The 19,150-nt window shown below is 48.3% G+C and overlaps 1 protein-coding gene across 8 annotated transcripts in view, besides 3 other annotated features; it reads right to left on the reverse strand.

Annotated features, from left to right (window-relative positions):
* P2RY8 (P2Y receptor family member 8) overlaps positions 1–19,150 on the reverse strand; it is a 74,605-nt gene that overhangs the window by 5,655 nt on the left and 49,800 nt on the right. Inside the window, exons 2-3 of one of the 8 annotated variants that reach the window (NM_001424188.1) lie at positions 12,740–13,874; positions 267–435 (exon numbers count right to left, since the gene is read on the reverse strand). The exons of 5 other annotated variants lie outside the window; for them this stretch is intronic. The gene's annotated coding sequence lies outside the window, so the exon portion shown is untranslated. Of the gene's footprint in view, positions 1–266; positions 436–12,739; positions 13,875–14,928; positions 15,016–19,150 lie in introns of all 8 variants that reach the window. 2 more of the 8 variants (NM_001424186.1, NM_001424187.1) reach the window with 2 other exon arrangements.
* Positions 12,693–12,861: a silencer, noted in NCBI's record as "fragment chrX:1599821-1599989 (GRCh37/hg19 assembly coordinates)". NCBI's record gives its function as "represses an EF-1alpha promoter that drives an FKBP-Casp9 reporter gene in an ReSE screen in HepG2 liver carcinoma cells {active_cell/tissue: HepG2}" and the evidence as "EXISTENCE:reporter gene assay evidence [ECO:0000049][PMID:32094911]".
* Positions 13,327–14,038: an enhancer, noted in NCBI's record as "OCT4-NANOG-H3K27ac-H3K4me1 hESC enhancer chrX:1600455-1601166 (GRCh37/hg19 assembly coordinates)". NCBI's record gives its function as "activates a minimal SCP1, AML or CMV promoter by ChIP-STARR-seq in primed H9 embryonic stem cells {active_cell/tissue: H9 hESC(primed)}" and the evidence as "EXISTENCE:reporter gene assay evidence [ECO:0000049][PMID:30033119]".
* Positions 13,535–14,034: an enhancer, noted in NCBI's record as "OCT4-NANOG-H3K27ac hESC enhancer chrY:1550663-1551162 (GRCh37/hg19 assembly coordinates)". NCBI's record gives its function as "activates a minimal SCP1, AML or CMV promoter by ChIP-STARR-seq in primed H9 embryonic stem cells {active_cell/tissue: H9 hESC(primed)}" and the evidence as "EXISTENCE:reporter gene assay evidence [ECO:0000049][PMID:30033119]".

Here is a 19,150-nt window from a genome sequence, read left to right on the forward strand (position 1 = left end):
CTGGAATTTGTTGCTTTAACTCTCCACGTAGGCAGCAGTGCCTCGCACACATTTAAACACCACGTGCTGTTGAAAGTCCTACGGTGGCGGCCTCACCCGGCCACCCTCGTGTCTGTACCTGTGTGGTCTGGGGATCCAGCAAGCAGCCTCTTGGCAGCCAGATCTGTTGCCATTTCGAGTCTGTGCCCTGTGGCCACCGGACAGCCCCCGGGGAAGACAGACAGCCAGGACTGCTGAGGAACGCGCATGACTAATCAAGAAATTACCTCTAACTGATGCCAGCTGCCCTGACACAGGAGGCACAGGCTTGCGGTTTGGGCCCCGCCGGGGCTCAGCGGGCAGGATGGAAATTTTAGAAAATCAGCACAACGGTTGTTCTTGGCGGTGTCTGGCCTGCAGAGGTGGCTGTCCAGAAATTTCTGGGCACTGAATTGTCTGAAGCAACGGACAGACCACAGGTGGGCGCTCAGGGGCTGTAGGTGGGACCCTCCTCTCCTCTCTCCTCTCTCCTCTCTCCCCTCTCCCCTCTCCCCTCTCCCCTCTCCCTCTCCCCTCTCCCCTCCCCTTCCCTCTCCCCTCACCCCTCCCCTTCCCTCTCCCCTCACCCCTCCCCTTCCCTCTCCCCTCTCCCCTCCCCTTCCCTCTCCCCTCTCCCCTCCCCTTCCCTCTCCTTCCCTCTCCCCTCTCCCCTCCCCTTCCCTCTCTCCTCTCCCCTCTCCCCTCTCCCCTCTCCCCTCTCCCCTCTCCCCTCTCCTTCCCTCTCCCCTCTCCCCTCCCCTTCCCTCTCCCCTCTCCCCTCCCCTTCCTTCTCCTTCCCTCTCCCCTCTCCTTCCCTCTCCCCTTCCCTCTCTCCTCTCCTTCCCTCTCTCCTCTCCTTCCCTCTCTCCTCTCCTTCCCTCTCTCCTCTCCTTCCCTCTCTCCTCTCCTTTCCTCTCCCCTCTCCCCTCTTTTCTTTTCGCAGTCTGTCATCCAGGCTGGAATGCAATGGCGTGATCTCGGCTCACTGCAACCTCTGTCTCCCTGCTTCAAGCGATTCTCCTGCCTCAGCCTCCTGAGTAGCTGGGATTACATGCATGCACCACCACGCCTGGCTGATTTTTTACTTTTTGTAGCCCCAAAAAGAGTTTCACCATGTTAACCAGGCTGGTCTTGAATTCCTGACCTCAGGTGAGCCACCAGCCCCGGCCTCCTAAAGTGCTGGGATGACAGTCGTGAGCCACTGCACCTGGCCAGGTTGGACCCTTTTTCTTATGCTTTGCAGGTAAATGCACACCTGTCTGGCAGCAATGCATCCAGCAATGTTTCTCTCCTCTTGAGGGTCTGTGTGTATCTCCTCCAGCCCTCTCACTTATTTCTTCTTAAAACAGCTTTGCCAGCCGGGCACGGTGGCTCACACCTGTAATCCCAGCACTTTGGAAGGCCGAGGTGGGCAGATCACGAGGTCAGGAGATCAAGACCATCCTGGCTAACACGGTGAAACCCCATCTCTACTAAAAAAACAAAAAAACAAAAAAATTAGCCGGGCGTGGTGGCATGGTGGCGAGTCCCAGCTACTCGGGAGGCTGAGGCAGGAGAATGGCCTGAACCCGGGAGGCGGAGCTTGCAGTGAGCCGAGATCGCACCACTGTACTCCATCCAGCCTGGGCAACAGAGCGAGACTCTGTCTCAAAACAAAACAAAACCAACAAACAAAAAAACAGCTTTACCAAGACGTGAGTTACGTACCATAAGCTTTCACTCATTCATACAGTTCAATGGTTTTTAATATATTCACAGATGTGCAAACAACACCATAATGCAATTCCAGAACCATTTTTATCCCTAAACAAAACTCAGGACCTGGCCGGGCATCATGGCTCACACCTGTAATTCCAGCACTTTGGGAGGCCGAGGCAGGTGGATCACCTGAGGTCAGGAGTTCGAGACCAGCCTGGCCAACATGGTGAAATCCTGTTGTTACTAAAATTAAACAAACAAACAAACAAAAACAAATGGGCCAGGCGCGGTGACTCACGTCTGTAATCCCATCACTTTGGGAGGCCGAGGCAGGTGGATCACCTGAGGTCAGGAGTTCAAGACCAGCCTTCCCAACATGGTGAAACCCTGTCTCTACTAAAAATACAAAAAAAATTAACCGGGTGTTGTGGCACATGCCTGTAATCCCAGCTACTCCAGAGGCTAAGGCAGGAGAATCGCTTGAACCTGGGTAGGGGGCAGAGGTTGCAGTGAGCCGAGATCACACCATTGCACTCCAGCCTGGGCAACAAAAGCAAAACTCCATCTCAAAACAAAACAAAAACCCTTCAGAACCCCACAACTGCTAATCCTGTTCGTTCCTGTCCCCAGCCCCTGTGAACCTCAAATCTGCTTCCTGTCTCTGTGGATCTGCCTATTCTAGATATTTTATAAGAATAAAATTCTACAATATGTGGTCTTTTGTGTCTAGCTTCTGTCACTGAGCCAGGGGTCTTCAAAGTTCATCCACGCTGCAGCCTGGGTCAGAGCTTGAGTCCTTTCAGTGGGTGCATAATAGTCTACTGTGTGGATAGACCACATTCTGTTTATTCATTCTCCTGTGGATGGACATTTTTGTTCTTTCTGATTTTTTTTTTTTTTTTTGAGATGGAGTCTTGCTCTGTTGCCCAGGCTGGAGTGTAGTGGTGCGATCTTGGCTCAGTGCAACCTCCGCCTCCTGGGTTCAAGCAATTCTCCTGCCTCAGCCTCCCAAGTAGCTGGGGCTACAGGAACCTGCCACCACGCCTGGCTAATTTTTTTGTAATTTTTTTTTTGAGAGGGAGTTTCGCTCTTTTTGCCCAGGCTGGAGTGCAATGGTGTGATCTCGGCTCTCGGCAACCTCCGCTTCCCCGGTTCAAGCAATTTTCCTGCCTCAGCCTCTGGAGTAGCTGGGACTACAGGCATGCATCACCGCACCCAGCTAATTTTTGTATTTTTAGTAGAGACAGGGTTTCACCATGTTGGCCAGGCTGGTTGTGAACTGCTGACCTCAGGTGATCCACCCTCCTCAGTCTCCCAAAGTGCTGGGACTACAGACGTGAGCCACCGCGCCCAGCCCATTTTTTTTTTTTTTTTTTTTTTGTAATTTTAGTAACGACGGGGTTTCATCATGTTGGCCAGGCTGGTCTCAAACTCCTGACCTCTGATGTATGATCCACCCTCCTCGGCCTCCCAAAGTGCTGGGATTACAGGCACGAGCCATCACACCCAGCCCATTTTTTTTTTTTAATAATTTTAGTAGCGACAAGCTTTCATCATGTTGGCCAGGCTGGTCTCAAACTCCTGACCTCCCATGATCTGCCCGCCTCGGCCTCCCAAAGTGCTGGGATGACAGGTGTGAGCCACCGCGCCTGGCGTGTTCCTGATTCTTGGCTATTGTGCATAAAGCTGCTCTTCCCTCATTCCCAGCCCTGGGAACCCCTTTCTAAAGGGTTCAGATGCTGAGTGCAGTGATCACTACAGTCTTGTTCCGGGTGGACCTTACAGGGTTGGGATGAGAAATAGACAAAAGGCATCTCCTCGTGGGCAGCAGGGATTGCATGCCGGTGACAGACCCTTTTTTGCCAGCTATTGTCTTCTGGCTATAACCACCCCTCTTTCCTGAGTGCTGGGGGCTGTCCCAGCTGTTGAACACACAGGGGAGTGAGAGGCCCCAGCCCTAAGGAACCACAAGCCAGCCCCGTGCTTGTCGTCTGCTCTCCTTTCTGTTTTCTGGGGGTGTTTGCACCACCCAGTTTGTGGTTCTTTTGATAGGGCTGCCTCAGGAGGCCCTCAACCCCAAAGACAGCAAATGGCACTCTGTTGGAGCTGTGGATTTGGAAGACAAAACAGACGCTGGCTTCAATTACCTACTTTGATTACGTAGAAGGAAGTTGTCGTGGGCCACACCCTGGCTGATACTCTCGGTATTATGGCCATTTCTTACTTAGAAATAGGGTCTGCGTCTATGTCATTAGTGAAGTCAAAATGTGGTCATAATAGAGTAGGGAGAGGCCCTAATAAAATTCACTGGCGTCCTTAGGAGAAAGAGAAATTTAGGCACAGACACAGAGAGAAGGCATGGAAAGATGAAGACAGAGACGAGAGTGGATGGATGGGTAGATGGATGAATAAATGGATGGATGGGTGGGTGGATGGATGGGTAGATGCATAGATGGGTGGATGAATGGGTACATGGGTGGGTGGATGGATGGATGGGTGGGTGAGTGGATGAGTGCATGGGTGGGCAGATGGGTGGGTGGATGGATGGGTGGATGGGTGGGTGGGTGGGAGGGTGGGTGTGCGGATGAATGGTAGGTGGGTTTGTGAATGGGTGGGTAGGTGGGTGAGTGGGTGGATGGCTGGATCAGTGTTTAGATAGGATGTGTGGGTGGATGAATGGATGGGTTGATGGGTAGATGGATGGGAGGATGTATGGATGAATGCATGGATGGGTGGATGGGTGGGAGGGTGGATGTGTGGATGAATGGTGGGTGGGTGGGTGGATGTGTGGATGGATAGATCAGTGTTTAGGTGGATAGATGTGTGGGTGGATGAATTGATGGGTTGATGGGTAGATGGATGGGTGGATGTATAGATGAGTAGGTGGATGGGTGGGTGGATGGATGAGTGGCTAGATGGATGAGTGGGTGGATGGGTTGGTGGATGGATGATGAATGGATGTGGATGGGTAGATGGATGGGCGGGTGAGTGGATGAGTGCATGGGTGGGCGGATGGGTGGGTGGATGGATGGGGGTGGGTGGGAGGGTGGATGGGTGGATGAATGGTAGGTGGGTTTGTGAATGGGTGAGTGGGTGGGTGGATGGGTGGATGGATGGATTAGTGTTTAGATAACTGGAAGTGTGGGTGGATGAATTGATGGGTTGATGGGTAGATGGATGGGTGGATGGATGGGTGGGTGGATGGATAGATGAGTAGGTAGATGGATGGGTGGATGGATGGGTGGGTGGATGGATAGATGAGTAGGTAGATGGATAGATGAGTAGGTAGATGGGTGCGTGGACGGATGGGTGAATAGATGGATGAGTGGGTGGATGGGGGGTTGGATGGATGATGAATGGATGGGGATGGGTAGATGGATGCATGGGTGGATGAATGGTGGATGGGTTTCTGAATGGGTGAGTGGGTGGGTGGGTGGATGGGTGGGTGGATGGATCAGTGTTTAGATAGATGGATGTGTGGGTGGATGAATGGATGAGTTGATGGGTAGATGGATGGGTGGATGTATGGATGAGTAGGTGGATGACTGGGTGAATGGATGGATGCATGGATGGGTGGATGGATGGGTGGGTGGGTGGATGAATGGTAGGTGGGTTTGTGAATGGGTGGGTAGGTGGGTGAATGGGTGGATTGATGGATCAGTGTTTAGATAGGTGGATGTGTGGGTGGATGAATGGATGGATTGATGGGTAGATGGATGGGTGGATGTATAGATGAGTAGGTGGATGTATGGGTGGATAGATGGATGACTGGGTGGATGGGTGGGTGGATGGATGATGAATGGATGGGGATGGGTAGATGGATGGGTGGGTGGATGAATGGTGGGTGGGTTTGTGAATGGGTGAGTGGGTGGGTGGGTGGATGGGTGGATGGATGGATCAGTGTTTAGATAGGTGGATATGTGGGTGGATGCATTGATGGTTGATGGGTAGATGGATTGGTGGATGTATAGATGAGTAGGTGGATGGGTGGGTGGATGGATGGGTGGATAGATGGATGAGTGGGTGGATGGACGGATGCATGGATGAGTGGATGGATGGGTGGGTGGATGGGAGGGTGGATGGGTGGATGAATGGTAGGCGGGTTTGTGAATGGGTGGGTAGGTGGGTGAATGGGTGGATGTATGGATCAGTGTTTAGATAGGTGGATGTGTGGGTGGATGAATGGATGGGTTGATGGGTAGATGGATGGGTGGGTGTATGGATGGGTGGATGAATAGATGAGTAGGTGGATGGGTGGGTGGATGGGAGGGTGAATAGATGGATGAGTGGGAGGATGGGTGAGTGGATGGAGGATGAATGGATGAGGATGGGTAGATGGATGGGTGGATGGATAGATGGGTGGCTGGATAGATGAATAGGTGTATGGGTGTGTGGATGGATGGATGGATGGATGGATGGATAAGTGGGTGGGTGGATGGATGGATCAGTGTTTAGGTGGATGGACGTGTGAGTGGATGGATGGGTGGATAGATGGATGAGTGGGAGGATGGGTGAATGGATGTATGATGAATGGATGAGGATGGGTAGATGGATGGGTAGATGGATAGATGGGTGGCTGGATAGATGAATAGGTGTATGGGTGTGTGGATGGATGGATGGATGGATGGATGGATGGATGGATGGATGGATGGATGGATAAGTGGGTGGGTGGATGGATGGATCAGTGTTTAGGTGGTTGGACGTGTGGGTGGATGGATGGGTGGACAGATGGATGAGTGGGAGGATGGGTGAATGGATGTATGATGAATGGATGAGGATGGGTAGATGGATGGGTGAATGGATGTATGATGAATGGATGAGGATGGGTAGATGGATGGGTGGATGGATAGATGGGTGGCTGGATAGATGAATAGGTGTATGGGTGTGTAGATGGGTGGCTGGATAGATGAATAGGTGTATGGGTGTGTGGATGGATGGATGGATGGATGGATGGATAAGTGGGTGGGTGGATGGATGAATCAGTGTTTAGGTGGTTGGACGTGTGGGTGGATGGATGGGTGGACAGATGGATGAGTGGGAGGATGGGTGAATGGATGTATGAGGAATGGATGAGGATGGGTAGATGGATGGGTAGATGGATAGACGGGTGGATGGATAGATGAATAGGTGTATGCCTGTGTGGAGGGATGGATAAGTGGGTGGGTGGGTGGGTGGATGGATGGATCAGTGTTTAGGTGGCTGGATTTATGGGTGGATGAATGGATGGGTTGATGGGTAGATGGATGGGCAGATGTATGGATGGGTGGATGGATGGATGAGTGGGTGGATGGGTAGGTGGATGGATGGGTGGATGGATGGATGAGTGGGTAGATGGGTGGGTGGGTAGATGGGTGGATGGATGAATAGATGATGCATGGATGGATGCTTCTATCCACCATGAAATGCCGATTGTTTCCAGAAAATCACCAGAAGCTGCAGCAAAGCTTGGAACAGATTTTCCCTCAGAGCCCTAATGAGGAACCAACCCTGCCAATACCTTCATCTCAGACTTCTGGTCTCCAGGATGGGGAGAGAATGCATTGCTGTTATTTAAGCCACCACATCAGTGGTAATTAGTTATGGCAGCTGTCGCAAACCAATACACCGAGAAAAGAGAGGAAAAGTTTTAACCAACAGACTTCAAAGAAATTAGAGAAAGCGTCATCATACCAAATAAAAGAGAGGAAGAACCTTAAAAGAAAGATAAAGCATGAAAAGCACAAGATTATAGGATAAGAGAAAGAAATGAGGAACAAGCCAATGGGCCTCAGAAACTCAATGGAAGACAAGGATCTCAAGACTTGAAGATATAAAGACGGCACTGCAAAGCAATAACAACAACAACATGTATTCATGCAGTCCCCCTTTCTTTGGTTGACTTACTGTTGAGAAATGTCCAACACTAGCAGAGTGGAGCATATAGATTATGATGTGATTTGCCAAAGCCCAGGAGGAATGGCTGCATAGGACCCTCTCCTCACCTGCCATGGTTGCATTGAACCACTAGGGTAGGGAAGGAAGCAAGGCTCAGAGCTCCCTGCTCAAGCATCTCCCTGCAGGGGCCAAGACATCTTCTTGACCTTTGACATGTGGATCTATGGCACAGGGGCTGTCCAGAGCTCTCCATGACCCAGGCATCAGACCCCTTCCAGCTCCAGGAGGGAGGAGGTACAGGTATACACCTGGTGCTGACCTACAAGGGTCACAGGAAGAATCCAGCTTTGGGACACCTCCTATGACCAAGTTGTTCAGGATTTTACAATGTGGTCTCAGGGTCACTGTTAGTGCACCCAGACCTGTTTGAGCAAGAGTCCTTGATATCGATTTAGAAATATAATGGGTCGGCTGGGCACGGTGGCTCATGTCTGTAATCCCAGCACTTTGGGAGGCTGAGGTGGGCAGATCATGAGGTCAGGAGATGGAGACCATCCTGGCTAACACGGTGAAACCCCTTCTCTACTAAAAATACAAAAAAGAAAAAAAAAATTAGCCGGGCGTGGTGGCGGGTGCCTGTAGTCCCAGCTACTCGGGAGGCTGAGGCAGGAGAATGGCATGAACCCCGGAGGCAGAGCTTGCAGTAAGCCTAGATGGCACCACTGCACTCCAGCCTGGGTGACAAAGTGAGACTCTGCCTCAAAAAGAAAAAAAAAAAAGAAATATAATGGGTCATATAGATGTTTGAGAGGTAGCCAAGGGTGGCTGATGCCAGGTCTAGAAGAACAAGGGTCACCTAGAAGGCTTCCCCTACCCTCAAGAATAGTTGGAAATGTAGGAAACATCCCTGGTTGCCACAACTTAAGGAAGGATGCTACTGGGATCTGGTGGGTGGAGCCCAGGGATGGTGCTCAACACCCTACCATGCACAGGAGGGTCCCCACCACAGAGAAGCATCCAGCCTCAAATATCTACAGTGCTGAGGTTGACAACCTGGCATGAGCATAAGAACTTCACCGTCAGCCTGGAGCAGTGGCTCACACCTGTAATCTCAGCACTTTGGGAGGCCGAGGTGGGTGGATCACCTGAGGTCAGGAGTTTGAGACCAGCTTGGCCAACACGGTGAAGCCCCGTCTCTACTCAAAATACAAAAACTAGCCAGGTGTGGTGGCGGGTGCCTCTAATCCCAGCTACTTGGGAGGCTGAGGCAGGAGAAGCACTTGGACCTGGGAGGCGGAGGTTGCAGTGAGCTGAGATTGTGCCATTGCACCCCAGCCTGGGCGACAGAGCAAGACTGCATCTCAAAAAAAAAAAAAGAAGAAGAAGAAGAAGAAATTCACCATCTGTCTATCCATGAATCCATTTGTTGATCTAACCCCTGTCATCCATCTATCATCTATCATCTATCTATATCAATCGTCTTGCAACCCTTGATCTATCATCTATCTATATCAATTATCTATCAATCGATCATCTATCTACCTATCAATTTTCTCTCTATCAATTACTTATCTATCTAGCAATCATATCTATCAATTATGAATCAATCATCTTTCTATGGATCTTTCATCTATTCATATCAATTACCTACCAATCAGTTATCTATTAATTACATCTATCATCTGTGAATCAGTTATCTAACAATCACATATACGTGTTCATCAATCTATCAATTATTTATCTATGCATCAATTATTTATCCATTCAATAGTTTGCAAATGTGAATGATTCAGGTATCATAATTGGGAAGATGCGTCTGGCATCTGGTGGGTAGATCCCAGGGACACTGCTCAACACCCTACAGTACACAGGATGGCCCCACCACAGAGGATCATCTGGGCTGAAATGTCAGCAGTGCTAAGGCTGAGAAACCTGCCCTCAAGCAACTGTGTGACAAGAGCAGCCTTCAACAAACACACAGAGCTCAGGAGTACTTTCCAAAGAATGTCTGCAAGAGGCTTTCGGGGAGAGAAAAGACCCCAGGCAGATGTTCCTAGCAAGAAGCTGGTGTCGTGGAAAGGGACAGTGGTCTCATCATGGTTAGTGACCAGCTGTGGATGAAGAGCGATTCCTTAAAATGCCTGCACGTGCCCCTCATTGCCTTGCCGTCACGGACCTCCCACCCCATCACAGAGGAGGAGACCTGGTCTTCAGGAAGACAGATGGAACATGAGCTAAAGCATCTCTTGGGCCCCTGAGCTGGGGTGGGGTCAGACGTCAGAGCTGTGGCCAGAAGCAATAACAAAGAGAAGTTCTTGACTCATGTGGAACCTTCCATTGGTATCTCCTGTTTCCAATCCTAAGCATTTCTCTGTATGATGGACACCAATGCTTTTAAAATGAAAAATGGTGCTGGCAGGCGTATGTGTGTGTGTGTGTGTGTGTGTGCCCAGCAGGGAAGCAGAAATTATTACCAACATATCTTTTGCAAACAGGGATCATATAAACTAGAGAGATTGCAGAAGGCAGACTGTAGATAAGAGATTGCAGAGAGGTTGTAGGGTGACAGACAGGTCCTTTTGGGAGGGAGGAAGTAGGAAGAGAGTTGGTGGTTTTCAATATGGGAAGCTGAAGTGGCACAGGTATCTTTTATTTATTTATTTATTTTTTTGAGACAGAGTCTCGCTCTGTTGTCCAGGCTGGAGTGAAGTGGCACGATCTCGGCTCACTGCAACCTCCGCCTCCCGGGTTCAAGCGATTCTCTTGCCTCAGCCTCCTGAATATCTGGGACTACAGGCGCCTGCCACCATGCTTGGCTAATTTTTGTATTTTTAGTAGAGATGGGGGTTCCAGCATGTTGGCCAGGCTGGTCTCGAACTCCTGACCTTATGATCCACCCACCTCGGCCTCCCAAAGTGCTGGGATTGCAGGTGTGAGCCACTGCTCCCGGTACAGGTATCTTTTTATGTGAACATAGATAGCAGGGGCTGGGAAAACAGAGAAGCTAGGTGGTGGGCTCATGGTGCAAAGACTATCATGGAATATACCAGAAGCCTCCTGCCCCCTGCTGTCTGCCTTTCTGGTGGTCCCTCCCCACTGAACTGCAACTTATCCTAATAAAACCGGGGTTGATACCACCACTTCCAGGTTCCCACATTCCAAGTCCCCTCAGCCACAGAAGCAGATGCAACCTCTTCTGAACTTCCAGACACCATTGAGTTTTCAACTTTGGTTTAATTTTTAGATCTTCCAATTACAGAACACACACACACACTTGTTATGAGTAAAAGAATAAAGAGAAATAGAGAGCTCTGTATTCGTGTTTGTCTTTGGATCTTTCCCCTCCAGGTCCCACTTCCCTTCAGAAGTAACCTCTGGGAGTTCGTTTGCTCTGGAGCCTCCTTTCATACACAGGTAAGTTTTATTTTGCATAGTAGGACATACACCCGTCACCACTTTTGTGAATGTCTTGTGGTGTCTCTAACCATATGCCCCACAGTGAGGGGATTTGGATGGATCAACTCTGCTTCAGCCTGTGTGCTTACACACACTCCTCTGTAAGTATTTTTATGCATACCTGTGAGAACATTTTCTAGGATCGATTTCTAGGAGAAGATCTGCTGATTTGAAGGGTTTGCATATTTTAAATGGAATGCATGTATTAGAAAGGAAGTAAGATCTAAAATCAATAATTTAAGTTTCCACCTCGAGAAACTAGAAAAAGAAGAGCAAATTAAATCTAATGGAAGAAGAAAGAAATAAATCATAAATATTAGATTAGAGGAGAAATCAGTGGATTTGAAAATAGGAAATCCATAGAGGACAGAAATCAGTGCAATTGAAAACAGCAAGTCAATAGACAAAAATCAAAACCATAGGCTTGTTCTTTGAAATAACAATCAATGAGAGTAATAAGCTTCTAGTCAGGCTAACAACAACAAAGAATGAGGACACAAGTTACTAATACTGTAAATGAAAGAGGAGACATCACTACAGATCCCATGGACATTAAAAAGATCATAAAGAAATATTATAAACAATTCTGTGCCCATAAAATTGATCACCTAGATGAAAAGAACAAAAGGATAAAATCTGACAACTCACACAAGAAGAAACAGCCAATCTGAGTGAGCCTATATCTCTTAAAGAAATTGAATCGATAATTTAATAACCTTCCCAAACAAAAGGCTCCAGGCCCAGATGGGTTTACTGATGAATTTTCCCCAACATTTAAGGAAGAAATTATATTGATTCTCTACCATTCCTTCCAGAAGATAGAAACACAGGGAATATCACCAAATATCCACCCAATAAATTTCACCAATATGTGCTTACAGCTGATAGACAAGGGCAACACTCATTCTCACACCCTCATCAACAAGGGTGACAGCAACTAGCCTGAAGGGTGAGAGGTTTCAACTCATATTTTCATCACAGCAACAGAGGTTGACATGTTTCTTTCTTTTCTTTCTTTTTTTTTTTTATTGGCTGAGTCAGAGTTTCCCTCTGTCTCCTGAGCTGGACTGCAGTGGCACGACCTTGGCTCACTGCAGCTTGCGCTTCCCGGGTTTTTTTTTTTTTGAGACAGGGCCTTTCTCTGTCAACCAAGCTGGGGGCAGTAGTGCAATGACCGCTCACTGCAGCCTCGAACTCCTGGCCTCAAGAGATCCTTCTGTCTCAGCCTCCTGTGTAAGCTGGGACATGGATGAAGCTGGAAGCCATCATTCTGAGAAACTAACAGAGGAACAGAAAACCAAACACTGCATGTTGTCACTCATAAGTGGGAGTTGAACAATGAGAACACATGGACACAGGGAGGGGAACGTCACACACCAGGGCCTGTCGGGGGGTGAGGGGATAGAGGAGGGAGAGCATTAGGACAAATACCTAATGTAGATGACGGGTTGATGGGTGCAGCAAACCACCCTGGCACCTGTACACCTATGTAACAAACCTGCATGTTCTGCACATGTACCCCAGAACTTAAAGTAAAATAAAAAGAAAATAAAAGAACTTTTTTTAAAACAAAGAACCAGTATGCAAAATGTGCCAAAAAAAACTCTTAAGATTCAACCACTGGAAAAAAAAAAAACCATTTAAACATGGGCCACCTCACGAAAGATGCTTTGCAGGTGGCAAATTCACCTACGAAAAATCACTCCATGTCGTAGCTCATCAGGGAATTGCAAATTAATACCGCCGAGACATGCCGGCCGACAGGTCTCAGGGTGACTAAGATCTAGAGATACCAACAGATGAAGTACCGGAACTCTCATTGAATGCTGGTCACAAGAAGACGGTCCCTGCACCCTCTGACCTTTAGGTCACTCTGCAGCACGCAATACATTTTTTTTTTTTCTTGAGGCTGAGTCTTGCTCTGTGGTCCAGGCTGGAGTGCAATGGCACAACGTCGGCTCCCTGCAACCTCCGCCTCCCGGGTTCAAGCCATTCTCCTGCCTCAGCCTCCAGAGTAGCTGACAGGCACCTGCCACCACGCCTGGCTAAGTTTTGTGTTTTTAGCAGAGATGGGATTTCACTATGTTAGCCGGGCTGGTCTTGAACTCCCGACCTCAGGTGATCCACCTGCCTCGACCTCCCAAAGTGCTGGGATTACAGGCGTGAGCCACCGTGCCCGGCCAGGTAGTCACATTTTCTTCAAGCTTTGGGTTTAAGGGATCCCAGCTTTGGGCTTAAGGGATCCCAGCTTTGGGTTTAAGGAGCCCAGCTTTGGGTTTAGGAGAGTCCAGCTTTGGGATTAGGAGAGTCCAGCTTTGGGATTAGGAGAGTCCAGCTTTGGGATTAGGAGAGTCCAGCTTTGGGTTTAGTGGAGCTCAGCTTCCAACCCTCGCACCCTCAAAGTTCCCCATCTTTGTAGACCCAGTGACCCCTGTTTCTGTGATAACACCTGCCTCTGAACGAACTCTGTGTTCTACTGACTTCAAAGTGACCCACCAGCCCCAGTGAACTGGCAGCTGGCAGGCGTCAGGGGATAGAGGACCTGCTGGCGTCGGCCTCAGATCACAAGGCAAGAATCCTCCTAGCTAAGCACAAAAACGCGTAGGAAATGCTCTGAGCTCTGCCGCTGTGTGTTGATTTTCCTGTATTGCATCACCCAACGAAGCAGACCGTTTGCCCAGCGAGATTTGCATGCTGTCCTCCGCAGACGCCCCGTGGAGATTTTGATCTGCGTCTTCTGCAAAGGCAGCGGCCGCGTTTCTCTGATTTCTGTATCTCATTCTCAGAGTATATAGCACGGGGCTTCATCGCTGGCCAGAGAGCAGATTCTGAGAAACATAAGAAGCCCCTTTTTGAAACAAAATTAATTTGTGTGTGTGGTGTGTGTGTGTGTGTGTGTGTGTGTGTGTATGGGTGAGGATGTCTCAACAGCAGCAAAATCGGCCTCACTCTGGAAGGCAGGAAGCCACTGTACGTGGAATTAAGCTAATTAACATGAAATGCCATTTGGTGAAAAAAAAAAAAAAAACCCAAAGTGGTTGAGTGTGTGGCTCCTGCCCTGCTGCAAAAGAAGAGTGTGGAAATAGCACGTATGCTGAAATTTAAGCACTTCTGCCGTTACTGAGCCACAGTGCCCATGGTTTTAGCAGGTTATGGCAGACAGATTCATTTAACAGATGAGAGAGAGGTGACAGGAAGGTTCGCAGGCTTGACTTCCTAACAGCTGCTCTCTGTTTAAAGATCGTTGCTCTAGACATGAAGTCCTTGCCCATGCCTATGTCCTGAATGGTAGTGCCTAGGTTTTCTTCTAGGGATTTTATGGTTTTAGATCTAAATTTAAGTATTTAATCCATCTTGAATTAATTTTAGTATAAGGTGTAAGGAAGGGATCCAGTTTCAGCTTTCAACATATGGCTAGTCAGTTTTCCCAGCACCATTTATGAAAATGTGGCACATATACACCATGGAATACTATGCAGCCATCAAAAATGATGAGTTCATGTCCTTTGTAGGGACATGGATGAAGCTCGAAACCATCATTCTCAGCAAACTATCGCAAGGACAAAAAACCAAACACTGCATGTTCTCACTCATAGGTGGGAATTGAACCATGAGAACACATGGACACAGGAAGGAGAACATCACACACCGGGGACTGTTGTGGGGTGGGGGGACGGGGGAGGGATAGCATTAGGAGATATACCTAATGCTAAATGACGAGTTAATGGGTGCAGCACACCAACATGGCACATGTATACATATGTAACAAACCTGCACGTTGTGCACATGTACCCTAAAACTTAAATGAAAGATAAAATCAATTATTTTAATTTAAATAAATAAATAAAGATCGTTGCTCAGTGTGAGTTGACGCGGACTTGCCTTAGGATACTTTAATTGTGATCTGGTGGATTCTGCTCATCCTGTTTCCAGCCATGTGCTCAGCAAAGCAGTCAAAGAGAAAGATCCCTGGAGAAGAAACCGAGACGGTCTCAACTACCTTGTTCCTGCCCGAAGTCAAAGCTGGGCTCCCTTAGATCCAAAGCGGGGTTTCCTTAAAACCCAAACAGGAGCCAGGCGTGGTGGCTCATGCCTGTAATCCCAGCACTTTGGGAGGCTGAGGTGGGTGGATCACCTGAGGCTGGGAGTTCGAGACCAGCCTGACCAACATGGAGAAACCCCATCTCTACTAAAAATACAAAATTAGCCAGGCATGGAGGCGCATGCCTGTAATCCCAGCTACTCAGGAGGCTGAGGCAGGAGAATTGCTTGAACCCGGGAGGCAGAGGTCGCGGTGAGCCAACATTGCGCCACTGCACTCCAGCCTGGGCAACAAGAACAAAACTTTGTCTAAAGAGAGAGAAAAAAAAGAAACAACCCAAACAGGAGCTCCATTAAAACCCAAAGCTACCCTCCCTTAGACTCAAAAACAGGCTTCCTTAAAACCCAAAGAGGGGCTCCCTTAGACCCAGAGCTGAGCTCCCCAAAACCCAAAGTTGGACTCCCCTAAACCCAAAGCTGAGCTCCCTTAACCACAGAGCTGGGCTCTCCTAAACCCAATGCTGACCTCCTTTAAACCTGAAGCTGGGCTGCCTTAGACCAAAAGCTGGGCTCTCCTAAACCCAAACCTGAGCTCCCTTAAACCCAAAGCTGGGTTTCCCTAAAACTCAAAGCTGGGATCCCCTAAACCCAAAGCTGGGTTCCCCTAAACCCAAAGCTGGGCTCCCCTCAACTCAAAGCTGGGCTCCCTTAGACCCAAAGCTGGACTCCCCTAAACCCAAAGCTGGGCCCTTATATACCTAAAAAGCTGGGTTCCCCTAAACCCAAAGCTGGGCTCCCCTAAACTCAGGAAAGATTTTCATCTTTGAACACAAAGGAGTGTGTTTTTCTCTTGCTCCCTGGACCCAAACCCCCAATGACGGGAACCCTCAGCTGTGACAAGCCTCCAGTATACGTATTTCCCCACGTGTGAGCCAGTTTCAATCTCTCTCCTCTGAAAGGTGAAAGGGTCCCAAGGTAGCAGTGATCATAGACAGAGACTCATTTCTTTGTTCTCTTTGTGACCTAAGGGAGGTTCTCAGGCCCACAGAAAAGGATATTTTAAAAGATTTCAAAGCAGTACCCATCCTAGGCTACCCCTCAGCACAAGAAATTAACATTACAGGCCGGGCGCGGTGGCTCACGCCAGTCATCCCAGCACTTTGGGAGGCTGAGGCGGGCGGATCATGAGGTCGGAAGTTCGAGACCAGCCTGGTCAACAAGGCAAAGCCTCGTCTGTACTAAAAATACAAAAAAAATTAGCCGGGTGTCATGGCAGGTGCCTGTCATTCCAGCTACTCGGGAGGCTGAGACGGGAGAATTGCTGGAACCCGGGAGGCGGAGGTTGCAGTGAGCTGAGATCACACCACTGCACTCCAGCCTGCGTGACAGAGCAAAACCCTGTAAAAAAAAAAAAAAAAAAAAAAAAGAAGAAGAAGAAGAAGAAGCGGCAGCTGGGGAACCTTCCTGAGCAAAAACTAGAATCCTCTGTGTCCCATTCAAGTCCTGCGTGTTTGCAAATTGACTCCAAAAATCACCTGGTGTGTCCTCAAATAGTTAACCATGTCATGCACCAATTCTCCTCCTAGGTAAAAGCTGGAGACAAATAAAGACAGGTGGAGAATTTGTTAAGCAAACATCTGATTCCTTAATGATGTAATAATGTCTTTTTTTTTTTTTTTTTTTTTTTTTAGAGACAGGATTGCAGTTTGTTGCTCAGGCTGGTCTCCAAGTCCTAGACTCAAGAAATCCTCCTGCCTCAGCCTCCAAAAGTGTTGAGATTACAGGTCTGAGCCACTGCACCCAGCCCTTAGTAATGTCTTTTTTCTTCTTTTGAAGGTGGTTTCTCACTCGGTCGTCCAGGCTGGAGTGCAGTGGCTTCATGGCGGCTCACGGCAACCTTCACCTCTGGGCTTCAAGCAGTTCTCGTGCCTCAGCCTCCCGAGTAGCTGGAACTACAGGTGTGCACCACCACGCCCAGCTACATTTTTGAATTTTAGCAAAGATGGGCATTGTACCATGTTGCCCAGGCTGGTCTCAAATTCCTGAGGTCAGGCAATCCACTTGCCTTGGCCACCCAAAATGCTAGGATTACAGGCGTGAGCCACTGCGCCCAGCCCCTTAATGATGCCTTACTGTAAATTATGGGTAAATGTGTACACATTAAATTAAATATTACCTTATTAACATTTTATTTACTTTTGTTTCTCTTTTATATTGTAATTAAGGCTATATGGATATGTAAATTTAATATGTAAATAATATACATAATCATATAAAGTGATATAATGTATAAATTATTATTATATAATATTACATATATTATTTATATATATTATTGTTATATAATAATTTATTTACAACTTATTTTATTATAAATTAAACATGTTATATTGTATGTATATTTAATAATTATATACGATATATTGTATAGTATCATTTATATGTTATATATAATTTGTGTATTATATGTAACATATTGAACATAGCATATATAAAATTATATACAACATATTTTATAGATCACCTTATGTGTATATATAATTATATGTATAATACATTATTTCTGCATGTCATTTTGGTAAGTGAAGGTAGCATTAGAAAATGTATAAAAAGGGGCTAGGTGTGGTGGCTCACACCTATAATCCCAGCACTTTGGGAAGCTGAGACAGGTGGATCACCTGAGGCCAGGAGTTCAAGACCAGCCTGGCCAACATGGTGAAACCCTGTCTTTACTAAAAATACAAAATTATCTGGGAGTGGTGGCAGGCACCTGTCATCCCAGCCACTTGGGAGGCTGAGGCAGGAGAATCGCTTGAACCCGGGAGGCGGAGGTTGCAGTGAGCGGAGATCATGCCATTGCACTCCAGGCTGGGTGAAAAGAGTGAAACTCTGTCTCAACAACAACAAAAAATGGTTGCACCCATAAAAACTTGCATATGAACGTTCCCTGCAGCACTCTTCACAACAGCCAAAAGGTGGAAACAGCCCAAGTGTCCGTCAACAGACAGACAGATAAACACAACGTGGCCCCCCCATGCACACAGTGGAATAGTATACAGCCATGAAAAGGAAGAAGGCTGTGACCGAGGCTACACTGTGGATGAACCTTGAAGACATCATGCTCAGGGAGAGAAGCCAGACACAGAAGGCCACATGGTGTAGGACTCCATTTCAATAAAATGCCCAGAACATGCTGATCCATATAGAGAGAAAGCAGATGACCATGGCTGGGACTGGGGATGGGGAAACGGGGAGTGACTTTCCCCCTAAAGGGGGTGTTTCCTTTTGCAGGAATGACAAAGTGGTGGAAATAGACAGAGGCGGCTGTTGCCCAGCACTGTGAAGGTCCTAAATGTCCCCCAGTTATTCGCTTTAAAACGGTGAGTTCATGTCAAGCATAATCTCAACAAGAAACAATTGTCTCTTGAAGCAGGAAGGACATTCCTCAGGTTTCTGGTTTACTTCCTGCGTCTGAGCTGGCCCTTCCCCTACACCCTCCTGGCTGACTCCCTGCCCGCGCTGAGTCCTGAATGCTCCTGCAGTCTCAGTGCTCCCCCGCTTGTTGCTTGGGTCTTCCTGTCCCTCAGAGAGCCCCGGTCACAGCCAGGCTGACCCTTTCTCCCCGGGACAGGGCAGCCCCAGGGCCGAGCTTCCGCTTTTGGGGGATGCAGTCGTCACTGGGGCCGTAGCCAGCCTGGCCTCCTCATCCCTCAGGTCCCTACCGGGGTGTCTGGGGCCGGCTGCGCAAGCCTTCCCTGTCTGTGGTCACTATGGCTGATTTGAGCTTGGCTGGGCCTGAGTGGAGGGGAAGCAGTGGCCACCACTGTGTGAACCAGTGACCTCACGGTGTCCCTCAGGGAGCCACAGTGAAAGGCGTCCAAGTTCTCAAGTCCAGCATTGTTTCAATTTCCTCCTTGTCTTTCCCGGCCACACAGAGCTTCCTTCCTAGCTGCCTGGAGATGACAGGGAAGGAGAAGGTCAAGTGTGCTTGAGTCCTCAGGTGACATCGCCTGTTCTTAGAGCAGACGTCACATTGAATGTTTGCAAACGTTTTTTTGTGCAC

Source organism: Homo sapiens, chromosome X (genome assembly GCF_000001405.40).
Source record: "Homo sapiens chromosome X, GRCh38.p14 Primary Assembly".
Taxonomy (NCBI): Eukaryota; Metazoa; Chordata; class Mammalia; order Primates; family Hominidae; genus Homo; species Homo sapiens.